Source organism: Homo sapiens, chromosome 3 (genome assembly GCF_000001405.40).
Source record: "Homo sapiens chromosome 3, GRCh38.p14 Primary Assembly".
Taxonomy (NCBI): Eukaryota; Metazoa; Chordata; class Mammalia; order Primates; family Hominidae; genus Homo; species Homo sapiens.
In genome coordinates, this window is record NC_000003.12 from 115,665,128 (window position 1) to 115,688,404 (window position 23,277).

At 38.7% G+C, this 23,277-nt stretch overlaps 1 protein-coding gene across 2 annotated transcripts in view; it reads left to right on the forward strand.

The window, feature by feature from the left end:
• The window catches only part of GAP43 (growth associated protein 43), a 97,974-nt gene that overhangs the window by 41,618 nt on the left and 33,079 nt on the right, over window positions 1-23,277 (forward strand). For both annotated transcript variants that reach the window (NM_001130064.2, NM_002045.4), the window contains one exon: window positions 10,886-11,483. In NM_001130064.2, coding sequence (NP_001123536.1) covers window positions 10,886-11,483 — 598 coding nt within the window. The remainder of the gene's footprint in view (window positions 1-10,885; window positions 11,484-23,277) is intronic.

Below are 23,277 nucleotides of genomic sequence, written 5' to 3' on the forward strand. Positions count from 1 at the left end.
ATAAGTATACTTCAAAAAGCAGTGTGCTTGCTATACAAGTGCAGTTTTAAGAAAAATCACTCAGCTCTCTCTTGCAAACATGTTCTTTCCCCTAATGCCTCCTACACAGAGATTCTGGAGCCACCCCCTTCAGAATATCTGAAATATAGACCAATTTTGCTCGTTAAAACTACTTCAAGTAGTCCTAGAGCTGATATTAGGATTGCTACTTATTCAGTCATACTTTTCGAGTGTTCATTGTTGAATTCTTAGATTGAATTTTCTATTAGTTTCCTTAAAATATAAGAGGTTGGAGGGCTAAGTTTAAGACCCATTCTACTAATTGTGAGGCTTTCCACAATCTGTGTTTCCTTATTTTTTTAAAGGGGATGGCACACTTGCTTAGCCTTCTTCATTATCATTCTCAGAGGAATCATTTTAAGTTGAAAGTACTTCATAACCTATAATGCATAAATTTAAACCACTGTCATTTCCCCCCACCACAGCCCTTGGCAAATGGGGTCTTAAATTCCTTCTCCCACCAACTAGACTTTTAGCATGCATTCTGACACGTATTGTGTATCCTTACTAGATATGAGGTATATAATATTTGGGCTTTACTAACTATCCAGTGGGGGTGCATTGGATATACTTGGCTTGGCAATTTCAAATTATAATGATCTTCAGTACCAGATGCTCTTAAGCTAGTCCCCTACAAATGTCTGGCAGCTTCATTTGTAACTTTTATCAGGCTTGAGTATTACCACACACAAGCACATAGAGTAGCTCTCAGAACCTGCAGAGGCAATTGTTTTACTAGATGTGTGAGGGATATAGTTGGATCAATGGGATAGATACTGTATATGAAATAGTGGCTAAATGAGTGTGTGTGTGTGTGTGTGTGTGTGTGTGTGTGTGTGTGTGTGGTTGGGGGATGTCAGGTGAAGGTCACATATTTTGGGAATGAATAGATTTCTAGTTTCAGTGAATTTCTATCACTAAGCTCCTACACTAGGTGAAGTTTTGGGGGGTGGGTAAGTTAGAGAAGACTGAGAAGGAATCAGTTGGTGTGTGTCAGGTGATAGTAGAGTGGGACTGTGGTTTAACTTTGACAATGTAAACAGATCTTCCCCCTTCCCAAGATAAGAAAGAACAGAGTTGAGTACTATGGCACATTTTACATGGTTTCCTGCTTATCTCTTTCTTTGAGAATAGATATAGCTCAGTAGTACTGTCGAGTTAAGAAATAGCTTTTCCACCCTCTGAGTGATGATACCTACAATCATCAGGATGAATACAGTCTCATGACCAAATCTCCTCTGGTATTTGTCTTATCAACATGCCTTAACTTAATGTCACGATGCTCTAGAAATTACTCTGAGAGAATAATGGTGATGGCAATAATTATGATGAGAATAATGGTAGCAGCCACCCCTTTCTGAGTATGTACAAAGTGTCAGGGACTGTGCTGGGTGCTTTATGTGCATTAACTCATTTGATTCTCATATCAGCCCAATGGGATAGTTTTTTTATTCCCTCATCCTGCAGATGAGGAGCCTAAAGCTGACTTGCCCAAGGTCAGGATCTACCAAGTAACTGGCAGAGCTGGAATTCAAACTTACACATGTCTAACTCCGCAGCCCATGCTCTTAAGCACCAGGGAATATTGACTTTTACAGGAGGAGGACTAAGCAAGGGCTTTGTCATTCAGAAGCTGGATGACGCTGGACTCCTTCCTGGTTCCTCATCTGTGTTGATTATAAAACAGGCACAGTGATGTGTTCCTCACATGATCATGATGAGGATTGAATTGAAATACTAAATATATATACTGTGCACTTATAAATGTAAGAAGAGAGAGGAAAATGACTGCTGGAGAGTGGCGTGATGAAGGCTCCAGCATTAGTGACCTGGAGCGAGAACACCCAGCCAGTGAGCTGAGTGTTCACACACAGAGAGTTTACACACTCTCTGAGCACCAACACAGTATGGCATGTGGTCATGCAACAACTAAAAATAACATTTTTTTTTAGTATCAACTATGTGCCAGCACTATTTTAGCCACTGAAGCTTAGAAGATTGTAAAAAAACAGATAAAGTTCTGTTCTCAGATTGTTTATAGCCCAAGCGAAGTTCAGTTAGTAATAAAATAAAAACATACAGCAGATGATCATAAGAACTAAGAGGGGAAAGACAGAGAAGTGGACCAAGAGTGACAACATTTGAAGAAGGGTGTGTGGTAGAGTGGGTGAGAAAAGTCTCTGACTCATTTATTCATTGAACAAAATGTCTCAAGTACCTGCTGACTCAGACTGTAACTTATGAAGGGGGTTTAATTAAGAAAAAATAGATGAACAATCATTATTTGTTATAGTAGGAAGACTGTAGTAATTTAAGAAAATACTTATCTTATTGCATCTCACATTTTTGAGTATCCAACAAAAGACACTTCGCAGTGTCTTACCTGGAAGGAAGATTGTTTTATGCTAAGTTCCCTGGGCTCTGGGGCCCTCTTCCTGCTGGTGAGCTCTGACCATCTTCAGGAGCTTGGCATGTGCTTTGCTCTTGGGGCCTCTCAGCTGGGAAAGATTTGCCTCTGGTGGTAGTACAGGGGTTTGTCTGCTGGTAAACTGCTTTTCTGTCTTTTTCTTGATGCATTGGCTTCCTGCAGCTCTTCTTCTGTCTTCAGTTGCTAGCAGAAGAGGCCTCACAGTCCCTCTCATGGACTGGTCTGTGATAGCCTTTTTAGCTGAGTGATGGGGAGTTCCACCCTTTTGTTCCTAGCTCACAGTGGCTGCTAAAGGCATAGCAACCTCTCTGAGAGCAGAGTCTAGTGTCCCCCTCACTTTGCCAGCCCTTCTGTCCTTTGAGCATGTCATTTCTTGAGGGAATCAACATGTGCTTCTGTAATGGGCAGTGTTCATCAGAGGGTTTGCTCCCATTGCTCAAGAGTAGAGATGCTTCCTCCCAGGGCTGACTTCCCATAGGTATTTTCCTGAGTCTCAGTGATTTTGACCCTTGATTCAGTTAGGTAACTTATACCTATGTCTGCTATATCCAAAAGTTTTCTAGAGGAGTTTAGTCAAGTGATTCTGTCTGGCTTGTGCCTTGGTACATGACCAGCATGATTAACGTGCCTCATCGCAACACTGGGCTCTTCCAACCCCTGTTTAGGGAAGGAGACTTCCTTCCTTGAATAACTAAGGGACTAGTTATTCCCAGCCTACTCCCCTTAAGCTTTGGAGAGCAATACACAGATTAAATATAAATAGTAGGGAGCAGAGATTCTCCAGCAATCTCCCATGAATATTTTCACCACTTTTATTTATTTATTTGAGACGGAGTTTCGCTCTTGTTGCCCAGGCTGGAGTGCAATGGTGTGATCTCAGCTCATCGCAACCTCCGCCTCCTGGGTTCAAGCAATTCTCCTGCCTCAGCCTCCCAAGTAGCTGGGATTACAGGCATGTGCCACCACACCTGGCTAATTTTGTATTTTTAGTAGAGACAGAGTTTCTCTATGTTGGTCAGGCTGGTCTCAAACTCCTGACCTCAGGTGATCTGCCCACCTCAGCCTCACAAAGTGCTGAGATTACAGGCATGAGCCACAGCACCCAGCCACTTTCACCAGTTTTGCTAGTGAAAACGCATATAAGCAGGGAGCAGTGCCTCACACTGTAATCCCAGCACTTTGGGAGGCCGAGGCAGGAAGATGGCTTGAGTCCAGGAGTTTGAGACCAGCCTGGGTAATATGGTGAAATGTTGTCCATCTCTACAAAAAATATAAAAATTAGCTGGGCATGGTGGCACATAGCTGTAGCCCCAGCTATTTGAGAGACTGAAGTGGAAGGATTGCTTGAGCTTGGGAGGTCAAGGCTGCAGCAGTCATCTGAGATAGTGCCACTGCGCTCCAGCCTGGGTGACAGAGAGTGACCCTGTCTAAAAAAAAAAAAAGAAAGAAAAAGTACACACACACACACACACACACAGAAAAATAATTTTATTGATATGACTCTAACGAGTCAATAGATAAATATAAATCAGTTGTCTTTATCTTAGATGTATTATTATTTTCAAGTGCTTGTTTATTATTATGATCAATGGCGTTTCTATAGCTTTGCTATTTCTTTTCTTGTTAAACCTCTGCTTACTAATTTCTATAATTGGGGAATCATATACCTGTTGTAGTTAGATGCTCTTGAATTCCACCACTGAGAAGTGAAGGATTTTAACAAAAATTGACAAAATCGAATCCAGATTTCTTCACCTGTCATCATCTTTCTGAAATAGCACTAATGGAGATGCTCAGATTTTGGATTCATCCAATAAATATTAATTGAGCATCTACTTTGTGCCAGGCACCATTCTAGAAACTGGCATTCAGCTCTAAGTAAAATAGACAAGGTACTTCTCAAAGGCTGACTTTTTTTCTGTTTGAAGGCATCAGTTGCAATACATTATTTACCTCTTCTATGTCTTTGTGGGACATAATAGGGTTATAGATATACAAAATAAAAGAAAACAACTTTTCAGACTGGAAACTGAGTTCTACTCTGATAATGCTTTATACTATGTTGAAGATACCACCTCATATTATTTTGGAAGCAGGTGGGCTGTACATGTTGAATAAATAATACATTAAAGTGGACTGAAGACCCATCTTTTGATCACCAGCTCTTATCTGAAAAGTTAACATTACTACTGCAGTTTCCAATATGAGATATTTTGTTTTCTTATACAGTTTCATTGCTTCTCTGCGCACTCTGCTCCCCATTCCCCTCATACCCTAGGTATGAGGTCTTCAAACCAGACTGCATGTTGGGGGATCCGGTGTATGCCCACTGTGCTTATTCATCTTTTTATTTTTATTTTTTTTTTTTAATTTTTTTTTTAATTTTTTTTTTTATTATACTCTAAGTTTTAGGGTACATGTGCACATTGTGCAGGTTAGTTACATATGTATACATGTGCCATGCTGGTGCGCTGCACCCACTAACGTGTCATCTAGCATTAGGTATATCTCCCAATGCTATCCCTCCCCCCTCCCCCGACCCCACCACAGTCCCCAGAGTGTGATATTCCCCTTCCTGTGTCCATGTGATCTCATTGTTCAATTCCCACCTATGAGTGAGAATATGCGGTGTTTGGTTTTTTGTTCTTGCAATAGTTTACTGAGAATGATGGTTTCCAATTTCATCCATGTCCCTACAAAGGACATGAACTCATCATTTTTTATGGCTGCATAGTATTCCATGGTGTATATGTGCCACATTTTCTTAATCCAGTCTATCATTGTTGGACATTTCATCTTTTTAAAGGACACTTTCTTCCTTACACCTGCACCGAAACCGGCAGTGACATTCCATCTATAGAACTGGAGGAGGCTGGCCCACTGTCTTCTCTCTCCTCCCTAAGGGGTATTTTACTGTATTTTTGATCTTTGTCTAGGTTTAAAGAAAGTACAGAAGCTCCACTGTGAACTACTTTAATACTTGCACATTTTCCCTAAAGTCAATTGCCATGGTATCAATGATGCTTAAAAATAGAGTGAAATTTTGTTATGTGACTTTCACCTCAATAAATTATTAATAAAAAATAAAGTGGGCCATAAGTAGGTACTTCCCAGATTTTATTTATATTTATCAACACTTTATTCTGGTTCCTTTACAGGCTGTAGAAGATTCTGATAGGCATGAAAACTACAACATATTTAAAAAAACATTGCTTAGGATATCTCCGGCCTTTCAAGTTTGTTCTCAAAAATAACTTTGCTTGATCAAATGAACTATATTTTGGTTTACTAAAGATGTTCTCAGAAAGAAGAATATGTGTACATCAATGATTTGTAATGCATTTAAAATTCAATACTATTTTTTAAAAATTTAAGTATTATAATGGTACTATTTATAGCTAGCAGAAGTAGATATAGGGCCAAGTTTTAATTTGCTTGGAAGGTTGAGGCATTCCTATGATAACTGGGAAAAGTGAAATGCATTGAGGTATCCCAGATGAATGGATGATGTTATTTTTAGTTCTGAAAGTTAGCCATTCATGGATTTTTGCCTAGAGCTCTTTTGTAACATATTGAATGCAAATGTTTGGACATTTTAGAATAAATCTTAAGTTGTCCATTCCTCCTTTCCCCAAAGGAAAAGAAGACCAGAGCAACAATGTTGGATACTTAAGTAATTACTTCTTATTTCTGGCTTTCTTATCTGTAATTCTTAAATATCAATTAAAATCATTGTTCATTCATCTAATGGATTTAGAAGTTTCATTAGTGTCAACAAGTTAGTGTAATGGTACTCTTCATTTTTTCCAACCAATATTCATCTGAGATTTTAATGTTTGTTTAAAAAGTAGGGATGTCCTACACCTTGGTTTCCTTTAAGACTTCATAAATTGCAGAGCTCTCAAACAAATCAGTCAGTAAAAAATATTAAGCCATAACAATAAAGATTCCTGAAAAACTTATGGTAACTCGTAATGACACCCTTCCTACCTATAATGTACTGCACTGGAATGTCCTCTTTACTTAATTCGCAGATATCAACAATTCTGTGTAAAAATGAAATAACTTTGAAATTCCCTCAGAAACATTAGAGTTCATTACAAAGCTTATTTGTGGCAAGACTTAGTTTAAAAACTAAATCTATCTTTAGTGACATTTATGAGCTGACTTTTTAGCCATTAGATAGCAGGATTCCTTTTCTGGACATTTCATCTTAACTCACAGTTTTAGAGTGTTGTCCTTACTTGAAAAGAAGAGTGTAAGATCAGGTGTCTACTGCAAATTCCTGGGAAGTTATTTATTGTTAAAGCACTATGATGTGGTTTAAGTGTATTTTCAAAAGGATTCTATGTGGGTAGACACAGTATCCTTCCGTTCAGTAGCATTTGTATAGTGCTTAACATAGGCACTGAGTATTTTTAAGTGAATAAATCAACGAGAATGCTGATGTGAAGCCTTATGGATTATCTACTACAAGTAAGTCCAAGCTATTCCAGGTCAGCCATGCAATAAAATTGGACTTGGAAGTAGGTGGGAGGGGAGAAGAGTTGAGGTCAAATACAAGCTGGGCCACTGCCTCCCTCACTCGCTGTATGAATTTAGGCAAGTCACTTAACTTTTCAGGGCCAGGGCTGTCCCTTTTGGAAAGTGAAAGTATTTTGCTGAATGTGCTGAGTAGTCTGGTTTCTCTGGGCTTGAATGTCCTTCATCTTAAGTAAGCGCTTCTATTTCTAGTGGGGAAAGGGTCAAAGCGTTCTCAGAACCTGGGGTTACTCCACATAGCCAGTTTTGGGAAATGTTCTTTTTCTCCTTGTCTTAACAAAATACACAACAAAATACACTCCCAGTCCACTTACTTTTATACTGTACTGTGAAAAGAATTTTACCAAGAAATAACCTGCAGTTTAAGGAATATTAATAGAATCATTAGAAATACAAAAGAAAGACACACAAACAAAATCCAGTGGTGTCTAGCTTCAAACCCAGTATTAACTTAAAATATTTTTATTTATGGATGTCTCTATTCAATCACTGAAGTCTGACCTCTTCTTAGCCTGGTTTATTTCCTTCCCTTTCCTCCCCTCTCCTCTTTCATTTCTTCATCTCCTTCCCACATCCCTCTCCTCTCCTCTCCTCTCCTCTCCTCTCCTCTCCTTTCCTTTCCTTTCATTTCCCTGCGTCTGTTTCTTTACTGCTATCTGGAAAAACTTCTATTAATTGTCTTTTTTTTCCCAACTAATCTCTAAAATTTAGTTTTCCTAAATCTCTAATGATGAAGTCCAGCAGTTTCTCCAGGATGAGCTACATGCGTGTGGAGTACTTTGAGCATCTTTTTGGGTATAGTCACTTATTTGGGTACCTGGCTCTTATAAGACTGTCTTCACCTCTCTCTCCTAACTCTTGTTTTTCATGGTTCTCCCCGTTTCTGCTCACTCCTGCTTCCCTTGAATTTCTTATACTTCTGGGTTGTTTAAGTGAGGTTTGTCTCACAATCTTGGCACCCTAGTCTAGTCTTAGCCTTTCTAAAAAGTCATTCTAACATAGATGCTGTGTTCAGAAGCTTAAATTCTGATTTTTTAGAAAATTGAAGTTGCAGATGCTTTAAGAAATTGAGAGAGAGAGAAAGAGAAAGAGGAGGGAGAGAAAATTGAGAGCCCTTTCTTTATCCTTGTAGTTTCTTTGTTTATATCATGTAGACTCTCAGCTTCCTTCTCTTTGTGATTTCCAGCTTTTCAGGAGTTTCATCCCCCTACTCCTTATGTTCATAAAGAAAAGACAGAGCTCTAAAATGTTAGCTTTCTTGAGTCACTAGAGAGTCTTTTGTGGACACCTGCTCCTTCTGAAACAATTGACTTGTCTACTTTCACAAACAGCAGTATTTGTATTAAAGAACCAGTTGGCATCAATGCCCAAGTGCAGGTGTCCTAATATATAAGATGGTGCTTCATTCAGAAAACTCAAGGTAGAGTAAAATAAATTATCAACATCTTGGCTCCATGCTCCATTCACAACTGTTAATTTTACAGGGTTATGCTTCCATCTCTGAGCAGAGAACTCCTGGCAGGGACAGCTGCTCCTGTGTCTCACATTGGGCTGTGCTCATCCCAGTAGGAGTCATCAAGAGCAGCAGGTTAGCGAGAAGGTGATAGTACATCAGAGAACTGAGCAGTGGAGGAGGGAGAAGGATGGGCCTCTCCAAAGTGCTTTTCATTTACTCCTTTAATCTTTGTGTGTATATACATGCATGGTTAACTAAGGAAAAAGGAAAAGTTGACTTGAATTTGACTGAGAAAATTATCAGACCTGCTTTTACTTGTACATGTAGCTCATTTTCAAAAATACTTTTGTGTATCCACTGGTATGTTGATGGTCCTATGCAGCAATAGGTCTGTACGCTTGTCCAAAGAATGTCTAACAGCCCCACATCATGATTAGCAGGAGCTGGGTCACTGGGGCAGAGCTGGTTTGACAGGTGGAAAACTTGTCCTGAGTAGTTCTGTATTAGCTTACCTCCTAAACTGGAGCAAAGGTCAAGGCCAATCCAAGATTGAGAAGAGGCGCCGAACATGTTACATGGTAAACACTCTTTTATTAGTGGTCTTTTGAGGGAAAGTTGCTGTGTTGTTCTTTGCTGTTATTTCTGCTAGAACAGTGTTCACAAAAGTGAACAAAAGTTCAATGCTCAAGTTAAAGAAATCTAAGAATGGAGACTATCAGTAGCCATGTTGGGGCACCATGGTAAACAATGGAACTGGATAAAATTTTATGTAGTTGCCTACACAATTCTTTCTATGACCATACCTGCTGTTCCTATCCTCTGAATTAATTTTCATGTGGAAAATAGTCATTTGCAGCATATATTAGGCTACAAATGTTGCCATCAAAAGGTAACATTCTATATGCTAGTCTCTTGTCTTTAGTACTAAGATGGCTCTATTGATGATAATACGAACACATTTTAGGTTCCCAATTGCTTTGGGAATAAAGAATTGTGACTTAGTTAATATAAGTTGCTTTTTCAAAAGGAGAAACAGTGTTTCCCATCATTTTTTAAAATTCAGGAATAGTGGTCTTTTTTAATTCAGATTTTGAAGGTTTGGTAAGTTTATTGCTAATGTTGGACCACACGCAAGAGAAAGTTAGACATTATTTTGTGACCAGCATTGTTAAGTTGTCACATTCTGAACAAATCCCTTAAAGACCTGGAACTCATTTACATTTTGCATAAAATCCTGATGGGATTTATGGTTTAAACTTTGACTATACTCTTTGTCTTGAATTTATTAATTTCCTTATCAGGCTTAAAACTTGGGGGAAAGTAGACTTTTGCAAAATATTTTTTTAAACCATTAAGTTTTATACAAAGTCCTTCTCAAAAACCCTGTAAACCCTCTATCTTTCAGAGCTCTTTAATAAAAACCTGGGGTGAATGTGATTTATTTTTTGCTTTTGTTTCTGGTTTGCTTGCTTTTTTGAGACAGGGTCTCAATCTGTTACCAAGGCTGAAGTGCAGTGACACAACAACAGCTCACTGCAGCCTCGACCTCGCAGGCTCAAGTAAGCCTCCTTCCTCAGCCTCCTGAGTAGCCAGGACCACTGGTGCATGCCACTACACCCATCTAATTTTAAAATTTTCTGTAGAGATGGGGTCTCACTATGTTGCCAGGGATGGTCTCGAACTCCTATGCTCAAGTGCCTCCTGCCTTCACTTCTCAAGGTGCTTGAATTACAAGTGTGAACCACTGCACCCAGCTTGTAAATGTGATTTGAGTTGTCAAAGTACTTCTAAAAAAAAGGCTGGTTTAAGTTTGACATGGAGCAACATTGAGCCGGGGAAAGAAAATACGTAGAAAATAATGCCAGTGGCCAGATGCGGTGGCTCACGCCTGTAATTCCAGCACTTTGGGAGGTGGAGGTGGGCGGATCACTGAGGTCAGGAGTTTGAGACCAGCCTGAACAACATGATGAAACCCCGTCTCTACAAAATACAAAACTTAGTCGAGTGTAGTGGCACATGCCTGTAATCCCAGCTATTTGGGAGGTCAAGGCAGGAGAATTGCTTGAACCTGGGAGGCGGAGGTTGCCGTGAGCTGAGACCACGCCATTGTACTCCAGCCTGGGTGACAGACTGAGACTCTATCTCAAAAAAAAAAAAAAAAAAAAAAAAAAAAAATGGCCAGTGATTCTGGAAGGTCCGAAAGACATTACTTTTCCCATACAATACTGTGGGAGAAAGATGAGGTTTGATTTGAACTTCCAGGGTACTGTTGAATTCTTAACTCCAAAAACAGTGCCTGGCACAAAATAAATCACTTAATAAATACTTGTTGAATGCTGAGATTTAAAGGAGAAGAATGTCATTGAAGCCCTCTCTTTTCCCTTCTTTTCTCGACAAAGGTTGAAAAAAATGATGACGACCAAAAGATTGAACAAGATGGTATCAAACCAGAAGATAAAGCTCATAAGGCCGCAACCAAAATTCAGGCTAGCTTCCGTGGACACATAACAAGGAAAAAGCTCAAAGGAGAGAAGAAGGATGATGTCCAAGCTGCTGAGGCTGAAGCTAATAAGAAGGATGAAGCCCCTGTTGCCGATGGGGTGGAGAAGAAGGGAGAAGGCACCACTACTGCCGAAGCAGCCCCAGCCACTGGCTCCAAGCCTGATGAGCCCGGCAAAGCAGGAGAAACTCCTTCCGAGGAGAAGAAGGGGGAGGGTGATGCTGCCACAGAGCAGGCAGCCCCCCAGGCTCCTGCATCCTCAGAGGAGAAGGCCGGCTCAGCTGAGACAGAAAGTGCCACTAAAGCTTCCACTGATAACTCGCCGTCCTCCAAGGCTGAAGATGCCCCAGCCAAGGAGGAGCCTAAACAAGCCGATGTGCCTGCTGCTGTCACTGCTGCTGCTGCCACCACCCCTGCCGCAGAGGATGCTGCTGCCAAGGCAACAGCCCAGCCTCCAACGGAGACTGGGGAGAGCAGCCAAGCTGAAGAGAACATAGGTGAGCAACCGCGAGGGTCAGATGCAATGGGTGGATGGGGAAGGGAGTTGCTATTCGGAAGACCAGGCCACCTGGGTCATTGAGGGAGAGGAAAAAGTCTAGAAGATGTTTTCCAGAAATCAAGGGAAGCTGTGCTTAATTTCCCAAAGTGGCAGGACTAAGAGCTAAGGTTACATTCCCAAATATCTCCAGAGAGGACTACCAGAGAGGACTCAGGCAGGTCTATGTAGCAGCCAGTACTAGAAAGATCTGGCAATTACCTTAATTGGATTGATATATGCAGTCAAACTAGATAAATCTGCTTTAAAAAAGTATTCTGTGTGCTGATAGACTTAGTTTAATAAGTAATTACTGAGGCTACATATATTTTATGGATGGGAATTAGCTAATGTGATTATTTGGCTCTAGAAAATGCCTGGTATAAATACAGCCATCCTCTTCTTGATCCAGATTATATAGTGTGTGAATTGTTGGCAGCAAAAGTATAATCTCAGACCACCCTTCCCTATCTCACATTATGTTTCTGGGCATTCTCTCCACCATCGGTTGGTGAGTAGTGTGTGTATATGTGGGTATGCTCAGAGAATGTTAATTGTAACATTAATTGGGGTCAAACATAATTAGGAAAATAAGTCTGTCGATGTTGCCAAAAACAAAAGAAAAACCCCAAATACAGAATATGTTGTGAAGTCAAACATAAATAATCATTTTATTATTGAAGACACGACTTTCTACAATATGCATAAATAATTGAGGGTTCCTATGATTACAAAAAGGTACTGGATTCTCTTCATTTTGGAGCTGTAACTTGAAAGTTGGAGGGTTTTCACTATTACTGCTCAATTGTGCAGAATTGGAATAGAATATTCCCAGAGCAAGATAAATTCAACAGAGTTTCGTCCCTGGAGACTAGATCCTTCCCTCACCCCAACACATCCACAGTGGTAAAGGAGGCCAACAGTTTCCATGATCTTTCTCTAGTCTAATATGACCGATAAATACTTTCCAGCCCCAAAGATCCTCAAAGATAAAGTTTCTTCTGTGTCCATTTAAAAGATTGGGTTTACTCCTTTAGAAGCGCCTCGGTTTAACCAATGATGTTTGTCATCCAAGGGTCCAAATACGGACTGAACCACCGTGTGCTCCTTGGGAGAAAACCTACTCCATGAGAGTGGTCTGAGGAATGTTTTGGCATCTGACCATCAGATTGAGAAAGTAATGACTGGACTTTTACCTTGATATACATTTCCCCAAAATCAGATACTACAATATGGTAGGTGACTATTCTAGATATTTTAGGTCTACTTCTTTCATCGTATCCCTAAAATTCTATGAATATGATGCCAGATTATATTAATTAACATTGTTATTGGCATATTCCAGCTCTGGATAAATCGTATGCTTCTTTTCATTTTGAATCTTTATTCTAACACACAACTGTCCCAGGGGCCAGACATTGAGGTTTAGAAGATGGGAATTTTTCCCTGGAAAAGGTAAGGCATGTGATAAAAAGTGGGGTGTGGGTTTTAATTTACTCAGCAAAGCAAAACTTAACTACTTTTCTTTAGATTTAAGGTTTGAGCCTCAGGTATGATGTCTGGAAATCACTTTGCATATCCACAAGTTACTTAATGTGTCATTTTCATACATCTTAGAAATTAATCATGCTTTTAAATACAGAACATATCTGACATGGCACAGACCATATTTTTTAACTGGGATTTCTAAAGTTGTGGGAAACAGAGAAATGATGTGATTTTAGGTATATGCTTATGATTTGGGTTGATAGAAGGATTTTTTGAATCAGTAGGAAGTCTAATATATAATATATTTTAAAAGAAATTAAGTTTTATTATGTTTCAGGTTATGATAACTAACTGCAAATGAATTAATGAAATATTTTATGTAGTAAGTTGTCAACAAATGTCAAATATTGAATATAAATTGATGAAATTTAAATTATAGATAATAATTTGTTCACTCATTTATATATTTCTCTTGCATATTTGCTTATTCTATTCATTTATTTGATTAAAAATGTGTCTGGTCAGTGAAAGCAAACAGCACTCTTCTCTGCCTTAAATGTTACAGATTCTGACAGAAAAATATCTTAATTAATCAGACTTTATCATGGGCATTCAAAGGTGATTGAAACAATAGGTGAAGTTCAACTTGAAGGTAATCACAAAGGGCAATTTACAGTGTTTCTTAGAGTTGGGTAGGTACTGTCCTCTTGGTTAGATTCAGAAATGCTGCCTGTCGTTTCTTTCTGGGTTGAGGTATCTAGTAGCCTTGCCTGCTCTTATGTGACAAGCACAAATTACTCCGCTGTGATGAATCTCATGGGATCACAGAAGGTAGAGGTGACAAGGAGATCTATCACATCATATCAGGTCCAAATTCCCAGGTGCCCTGTACTGCATTTCCTCTGCCTTCCACTGTATTTCATTTTAACCTGGGTTAAAGTAGCAGCATCTTCCACTGGGCTGTACTGTTCGGAAATGGGTGGCTACCATGGGTTGCTTTAGGATTCTACAGCTGCCTGGAGGGGCGTGGACAGACAATCTAAGAGGGTGCAACAGGGTTAAGGGGAAAAATAGGTACAAAGAGAAAATCTAAGAAAATAATTTCTGTGAATATCAGGCTTAAAAATTTTAGATATGATTATTACTTTAATACCTATGGAAATGTTGGGGGAACTATAAATGTTATTTATTTTACTTCTTTTACTATTTACTACCAACCTGTTTGTTATGGGGGGATGTCATTTGTATTTTGATCTTTGAAGTTGGTTGGTTATTGTCATTGTTTTAAATTCTCCAAGTATGTCCACCTCTCCCTAGTTTGCCACGCTGCCTGCCCAGCTTTTTACGTGCCTGGGACCAAAACATTTCAGCGCACCTCTGACAATGATTCCTTTAGAGGAAGAGGAGTGTTCAAAACATCTGTGGGACACTGCCCCATTCAGTCATGAGTAGAGAACTTTGAAGCCCCCTTTAGTGATTATATCCTTGGGGTCTCCTGCTGAGCAGTGTCACTGTGCTCATTGGCTCTCAATGAAGGAATTCTCTCTTACGTCTCCTCTTCTCCATGGTAGCCTATTGATTTTCCCCAGTAGAGGACTCTGCTGTGGTCATATTCAGTGATGTGGTACAACCAAGGTAACCTATCCAGAGGGCTATCAATCAGTGATATTGATTGGGTGGCTGCCACAGGGTCTTTGACTGATGCTAGTTGGAAGTGTAGCTCTGAGTGACTTTAAATGTTCTGTATGTTGATCTTGGCTGCATTTTATTTTCATGGTCTCAGTACATCTTGCAAATTGATGCCATCAGTAATGATCAAGAAAAGAGGGAGGAGTTTCCTATTGCCATTCCCTGAATAGAAAAATTAACTTAGTGTCTCCCTGCTTCTCTTCCTCCTCTTTTTTATCCTTCCTTCCTCCCTCCTTCCTTCCCATTCTGTCTCCTTCTTTTCTATTCTTCCTTTCTTTTTCCCTTCCCTTTATATTAACTTTCTTCTGTGCTAGGTATTGGAGTCACAAAGATGAATAAGATATGATTTTTTGTCCAGGTGCGGTGGCTCATGCCTGTAATCCCAGCACTTTGGGAGACCGAGGCAGGAGGACTTGAGTCCAGGAGTTTGAGACCAGCCTGGGCAACAGAAGGAGACCCCATCTCTACAAATAATAAATAATTAGCAGAGTGTGGTGGTGTGTGCCTGAGGTCCCAGCCACTCTGGAGGTTGAGGCAGGAAGATCACCTGAGCCCGGGAGGTCAAGGCTGCAGTGAGCCATTATTGTGTGCCATTGTACTCCAGCCTGGGTGACAGAGTGAGACCCTGTCTCAGAAAAAGTAAACCAAACCAAAACAAAAACAAGATGTACTCTTTTGACCTTAATGAATTCTTACTTGGTATGGGGGTAGTATGAAATTCAGGGAATGACATTGAAAACAATCATATTCATAATCTCAATTAAATTCTGCAGTTAGGTACAGGGCACTTCCCTATGCCAATGCACTTTGGACAAAATATGAATGAGGCAGTGCTTCAGGGGCTAAGATGCAGTCTGCTGCTTACTATAAAAACGTTGCATATAATGTATGTCCTGATACTCAAATTATTAACGAAAAGAATAGATGCAAAATTTAGAATTTCTAGAATGATAATTGTGTATAAGAAAATGAAATACCCAGCTCATATTTCTGAATTTAAAAAATTATTTATGTTTCCCAGAACAATATTTTCCCTAAGACCCAAGGTAACCATCTATTTTTCAGCTTTCCAAAAGATAGGTCCACTTCTACCAAGCTGTGTGTTAGATGTGAGATTTTCCAAGGATATTTACACTTATTTGGCAGGGTGCCTCGTGAGCGGCTTTGATTTGAAATGTGGTTTCAACCACTTCCTAAATTTATACACAACTCACAAAGAATGAAAATTTTGGTTGTGGAAGTCCATAAATGCTGTTTATAAAACATGGGCACCCTGTCAGATACTCAGTGGTATACCTCTTAAATACTGTTGATTATTAAGCTTTTATGGAGCACTTTTATATTGCTAGAGTAATCATTTTTATTGGCTTTTCTTGACAACAGCCCAATGTCATTTGATAATATTTTTCTTTCTATTTTTATATTCCAAGAATAGGGACAAAGTAAATGGATATTCTGGCCACAAATACAGCCAGTGACAAAATGAGGATCAAACTGATTGAACTCTAAATCCTCACCTTAACTGTAGCCCTACAGTTCTTTCTCTCTATTAAGGTGTTATGTTTTGTCTCAGTTTCTGCATTTTCTTTTTTATCTTAGCTGTTGTTGTGATCTGATGCTTTTGGGAAATACCAACCAGGACCTTACTAGGATATTCTCTGTCCTACCTGCCTTGTAATATAATGCAGGGAAAAGATCTTTGAACTGAAATAAAGAGACCAGGGTTCTAGTCTCAGTATTTCTACCAACCAGATTTTAGGCAAGTTATTGCTTCTCTGGACCTCATTCATCTCATCCTTAGGAAAAGGGACTACGATAGTTGGTTTTTAAGGTTTTCTTTCAAGAGTTAACATATAAAAGTCTAATAATAGGTAGCACTTAATGAGCATTTATTAACTGCCAGGTCCTGTGCTGAGTGCTATGTGGGGATTGTTCCATTTAATCATCATAACCACTCTGTGGTAGTAATGTAGTAGTGTAATTTTCCCTTCCCTTTTTACAAGGAGAAATCTTAGCTTTAGGGAGACTATGGGACTTAATCATTGTTGACAGCTAGCAATGTTGAACCAGAAGCCAAACCCTGAGAGTCTGAGAGGTCACATGCTGAACCCTGACACTTATCCAAGTGCTATTCTGGAAGAAACAAAGAGGAGAGGAATGTCTAAGGACCCCAACAATGTGTTATAATATAAGAACATCTCTCTTCTTTGGATAATTGGATATTCCAGACTCTTGTCTGGGAATTATTAGGGATAGCATTTACAGATGGGTGTCTAGTAACTACTATAATTCCTGATCATAATTCCCTCACAGCCCTATCACCCCAGAATTATTAGGGATATTAAACTGTTTCTGAGTCTTAGATTCTTATTTCAAAAATGCTCCAAGTACTGTTTTATTAGACCTGAGAGAGCTATAAAGATCAGCTGAAAATGATTGTTCTTAACAGATGTATTACTGACTCCATCAAATACATCAGTTATGCCAGGAGGATCTGAAAACTAGAAATGGAAATTTTCATATCTCAATCAGATGAAAGTCATTTTATTTATTGTAGGCAATTGCTACCCTAAGTTTAGCTTATCAGAATCAGTATCTTTTTTATATTCTTGCTTAGGTCTACCCCCCTTTGGCAAGTGCATTTCCAAAGGATCTGGTACCTTTATAACTAAAATATTAAAGAACTTAATAGAAGAGACAAATTAAAGAGCAATCATTAACTCTTTTTTGAGACAGAGTCTCGCTCTGTTGCTCAGGCTGGAGTACAGTGGCATGATCTCAGCTCACTGTAACCTCTGACTCCTGGGTTCTAGTGATTCTCCTGCCTCAACCTCCCTAGTGGCTGGGATTACAGGCACCTGCCACCATGCCTGGCTAATTTTTGTATTTTTAGTAAAGACGGGATTTTACCATGTTGGTCAGGCTGGTCTCAAACTCCTGACCTCAGGTGATCCGCCTGCTTCAGCCTCGCTGGGATTACAGGTGTGAGCCACTGCGCCTGGCCCTTTTATTAACTCTTTAGTTAAAAAAGTAAGCAGACAAAAGACAAGATGAAGGAATGTGTTGTGGAGTCACATGACTCATATTGTTGAGGCCATTCATTCATTCTTTCATAGCTTTTATTAAATTGTTACTGTCACCTCATAAAAGAATCTGGAAAACAGACATGTTCTTCCCCCAATTTTAAAGTTGTGAAACTACATTTGGAACTAAAAATTAATATTTCTTAAAATATAGACTATTATTCAGATATTAACACACATTCATAAAATATTTTTCTTTTTTCTCTACATACATGTGCGCGCGCGTGCGCGCGCGCGCGCACACACACACACACACACACACACACACACACACACACACGACAATCTTGCAATGGTAGACCAAGGAGGCATCTTTGAAGTGTGGGACATATGGCTTCTTAGCCAACCATCCTCACTTTTCCATAGTCCCTTATTTTCTTAACTATTAGATAATGGGCTTAAGGGATGGGGTTGATAGTAGAGAAGTTTAGATAGAGGGGCAAAGAATCTAGAAGAGTCAATTCTAAGAAAGTTTATTATTAGACTAGAGGCCCAGAAGACAGCAAGAATATCTCAGTAGAGGTTTCTAATCCCGTCTTACACTTGAGATTGAATATAAAGAGTTGAAAATGATGTTTTCTGATATGACTGGACTTCTGATTCATAATCCTCCTAACCCTGTCTCTGGATGGAAAACTATAGCTATAATAGCTACAGTGGCTATAGCCTATAGACAGCCATAATTTGCTATCAATATTTCATTTCCATCTTACACTTAATTCAATATCAGTGTATTTTTATATGCTTTTATTTCATTAAAGTAATTAAACAGCTTCAAGGGTTAATAAAACCTTGGATGCTTATGTAGAGCAATGGATACATCTGATAGACATCTGATAAGCTTTTTAAAATTTTGTCGGTAGACTGTCATTAAAACATAAAGTATTATATGGATAAGCTAATACAAATCTCTTCCAATTCTTTTTTTTAAAACTCTACATTCACAGTCGTTGGATATTTGACCAATAGTGAAATTAACTAACAGGTCTAAGTATTTGAAATGGGCTATTGAACGTCCCGAGAAAAGGTGGTATGGAAGATATACAAGTTAGATGTGATTACTCAGCAATCCTCACACTTATTTGTAATCACCAAATCACAAATTAGAGGATTATGAGAATTAAAATATTTCAGTTTGATCATCTCACACCATTCTACTTGGAAGGGAAATTGTAGTTCTTAAGATATCTTCAGGGGAAGAAAGTATTCTAGGAAGGCTTTTTGCCTTTCTTTGTAAAACATGTTCAACATAAATATTCTATCCTGGTGGCACATATACAGTGAAATAACTTTTGAAGGCTTTTTTTTCCCCTGTTTTATTTTGTTTTTCCAGTATGAGTTAGTAGAATCTTTTGGAATTTGGAATAGAAACCAGAAGCCATTTACTTAAAATGGTCCCTTCTTACTGGTGCATGATGAATGTGTGTGTCTCTCAGATAAAGTGGAGATGAACATTTCTATAGCCTTGAAAAAAATGTTCTCTTCCCTGGTGTATGACAAAGTGAAGGATATAATTTAGATATGTTTAAGCACTGTATCCATGCCTGTAGTATACCCTTCTGCCAATTTCCAAGCACATATGTATACACACACATTCAATATGTAGGGAAAGGGCTGCCCAAGAGTTCAGACTGTAGGGAAAATCTGGAAGAACGGTAAGTTCCACATTTTCTTCACCCTTCAGCCCAAAAAGAAGTAGAGAATGGCTCCAGGAACACCCTTTGTCTCTCTGAGGGTGTGTGTGAAGAGTAATGGTCGTTTCTCGGCTGCTCATGTAATCAGGATATGTTTGTGAACCTACAGTGGGTTGAGGAGAGTTAAGAGTTGGGATTAAAGCTATCTACGATGAAATTTATAGTGCCTAAGAACTAAAACCCTGGTTTGGCTAATTAGGGGAACATTATCCAGGAAGAGTTCTTGGTGTAGAGGTTGCCTCATCTGAATCTTAAAGGATAAAATTTATCCAATGAAAAGAGACGTCATTTATTTAAAAACTTGAGACACCACCTTTCATTCAAGTTAACACACATGTATAAATAAATTGATTCAGGTCATAATTCTGCAGCAGCTTTTTAACCTTCAGTGGAAAAAGTAGCTTCATGTCTGTGTTGTTTATTGTTGCTTTTCCTGCATCTGTGACAATACTTTGAATGAATAATATTATGCCTTAGATAAAATCCTAAACTGACCCAGGAAAATGAATACAGAAGCTCATTGGAAAGTTTAGTGTTACTCAGGCCTGTAAGTCATCCCTGAGGTTGCCAGAATTCAAACCATTTAGGGCTTCATAGACCAGTGTGAGCATTTTGCATTATATTCAGAAACATATTGAGAACTAGAGGAAGTCAAGGCTGCTCCCTACTGAAAGCAGGTGATTAATTTCACTCCAGCCACATGAATGACCTGTGGGTGGCCCTTGCTAGTGTGTGACAGAAACACCCAGGGAAGAAATGATTTGCCAGGTTCCTTGGCTTCCTTTCCTCATCTGACACAATTAAGTAATCTTTGCAAGGTGTGTAAGAGTCTATTGAACCTGCTGTTGCTCCACTGTAGGGTGAATTGTTATTGTGTTCCCAAACCAACAGTGTTGGGACACAGACCAGTAAACAGGCTTTCCCATTCCTTAATGCAAACATAATTTGTGTACAGCCTGTGAGCTATTCAGATTACAGACCATGAGGGACATTGCAGTGGGAGGCTGAAAGGATTCTTCCCTACACAAAAACTGCAACTTAAAGTCACCCTCATGTATTTGGTAAAAAGACAGAATGTGCCCCACTTTGTGAAATTCTATTCCAGTTTAAAGGGCTAAGAAAGCGCAGAGTTCAGTAATGTGGTTTCAGTGTTCTCCCCATTGGTGTAATCAAATCCTTTTAGAAGGAAAACCAGCGGTGGAAGATTTTTTTTATTTCCTCCTTCCTCTTCCTTTGATATTGGTGGTTTAATTATAATAGATTCATAAGAGAACCTGGCCCCTATTGGAAGATATGTTAGTTTTCTTTTTCTTGCCACCAAGGTGTAAACCATTCATTATGATTTTATCAGATATCTGCAGCGGCATGCTGGTAAACTGGCTCTCCAAAAAATAAAACAAAACTCTAACAGCCTTTATTTGTAGTTTTTGCCAATTTCTATGGTATAAATACTCCCATCCTAGCTGATTTCAGGCTACCAATGTGTAATCTCCAAATAAGCAGTTGGGAAGAAGTGCTAATATCTTGCTGTCAGCAGCCAACGTTAGTCAGCTCCAGCATACCCCAGATCATTATATTTTAGCAATTTGATTAATTTTATTTTGATAATTCTAAAATACTAAGAATAGTAATTATCAACTTCCAAATAATGTATCAGTGTAGAAGCATATAAATATACATTTGTAAAACCACATAGTTATGTACATATATATGTGATGCCATGAGAAGTACTTTCAACATTCGCAGTCATTTCTGTTGAGCATTGTACACTTGCTAAAGGTTAAGGAAGAAAAGTAAAGTTTAGAATTGGTATTCTTGTATTCAATTAGAAAAGCAATTGCTACTGAAGGAATTTGTACATTGTCCTCAAAATTTGATCTGAGCTGTATCTTTTTAATGCATTGAAAGGCTTTTCATCTTTTTTTAAAGGAAAGTGCATAATTTATTATATTTATGAGGTTATAATAAAATGGATACTTAGGAACTTTAAACATGAGTTAAAAGTAATCATCAGATATAAAATTCTCAAATCTTGGAACCCAAAATACTAAATTTTAGAATTTTCTTAAAACCTCTTTCTCATGATTAACTTAGTTTGAAAATTATTATGTTCTTTCATAAGAAAAGAAGGAAAATTTAAAAATAGACATGTTGATGGAGGCAATAGTTCTTCTCAGCTGGTTTTTCGGAGATGATTTCAGGGTTCAGATTGATTTGCAACCATTTAACATTTAATGCAGAGGAAGAGTTGACTATTTCCTTCCCTCATACTAATTTTTAGTGAGAAAGATGCTTTTCGTGCTAGGAGGAACATTGTGAAACAATGTCTTCACAGAGGTAGAATCAGATGAGTAAGTAATTGCTGAAGGCAGACATTTTCAAAATTGTTAGCCTAGGCACTATTTGCTCAAATGAGTTTAAAATATATACACTAAACCCCAAAGCAGAGAAGCTTTGGTTGAGAATGATAGGGGAAAGTGGAGATGACTGAAGATGTCCTGAAATCCCCCCTCTTTTTTTTTTTTTGCATCTATCCCTACCCTCTAGGTAGATCATTTCTGAGCCTTGAAGTACAGTTTGAAAAATGCAAATTTCAGAAATTTCTCAGCTACTTATTGTCTACATGTGGACAGCAATAAAAGAGTCAATGCCAATCGATCTCATTTACTGTAAGCTGATCTTCACAATGAGTATGGATAACTGCACCCATATTGATGATATAGTAGATTTTGTGTATTACTTATAAGGTCAACAGAAAATTGATTCATATTACAGTCCTATTGTGTAGTCGCAGATAGGACTGGTGTGAGTAACTTCTAAACATGGCTTTAGGCAACTAACCACTGTTCCATTTAATTTTAGTTCCACTGGTATTAAAACCATGCAGAATTTATTTTCTAAATGATATTTTACAAATCATAATCCCAAAGAAAATTTATTTTCTAGAATCCTCAATCAATGAACTTTGAGTTGTGTTGCTGGAGCCTGGAGTTCCATGGAGCAGCATCTCAGCAGTAGTTTCTGGGAATTGCGGTTGTTTTGCAGAGGCCAGGTTAACAAGGATTGGGTTCCTAGGATTGGGGTCCTATCTCGCAATCCCCTACACCTCTACCAAACTATTTCGTGATCTTGGTTAAACTTTGATTTCACATTTTAACTAATAATAATTAAAAATTACTGTTTTAAACTTAAGACCAAATTCAAAAGGTCTTCAATCTTGGCAAGATTAAAACTCAACATAATTCAAAACTCATCTTTTCAGGCAGGCATCCAATCTGTACTTAGCTTGAATTGTTTATTTTACAAACAGATACTGCTCAAATTCTAAAATTTGACTTGTAGTATAAACCATAAAAAAATGGAATTTGAGTGACTCACCCAGGGTTACTAACGAAATTTTTTTATTATTTATTTATTTATTTATTTATGTTTGAGATGGAGTCTCACTCTATCACCCAGACTGGAGTGCAGTGGTGCAATCTTGGCTCACCGCAACCTCCGCCTCCCGGGTTCAACCGATTATCCTGCCTCAGCCTCCCGAGTAGCTGGGATTACAGGAGTGTGCCACCATGCCCAGCTAATTTTTTGGATTTTTGGTAGAGATGAGGTTTCGCCATGTTGGTTTCACCAGGTCTCAAGCTCCTGGCCTCAAGTGATCCACCCACCTCGGCCTCCCAAAGTGCTGGGATTGTAGGCATAAGCCAGTGCCCCTGGCCTCAAATTATTAAAATTATTATATCCATGGGTACTTTAACTTAAAAAATAGGCTAATAATGCAGTAATATTTTTTAGTTATACTCCA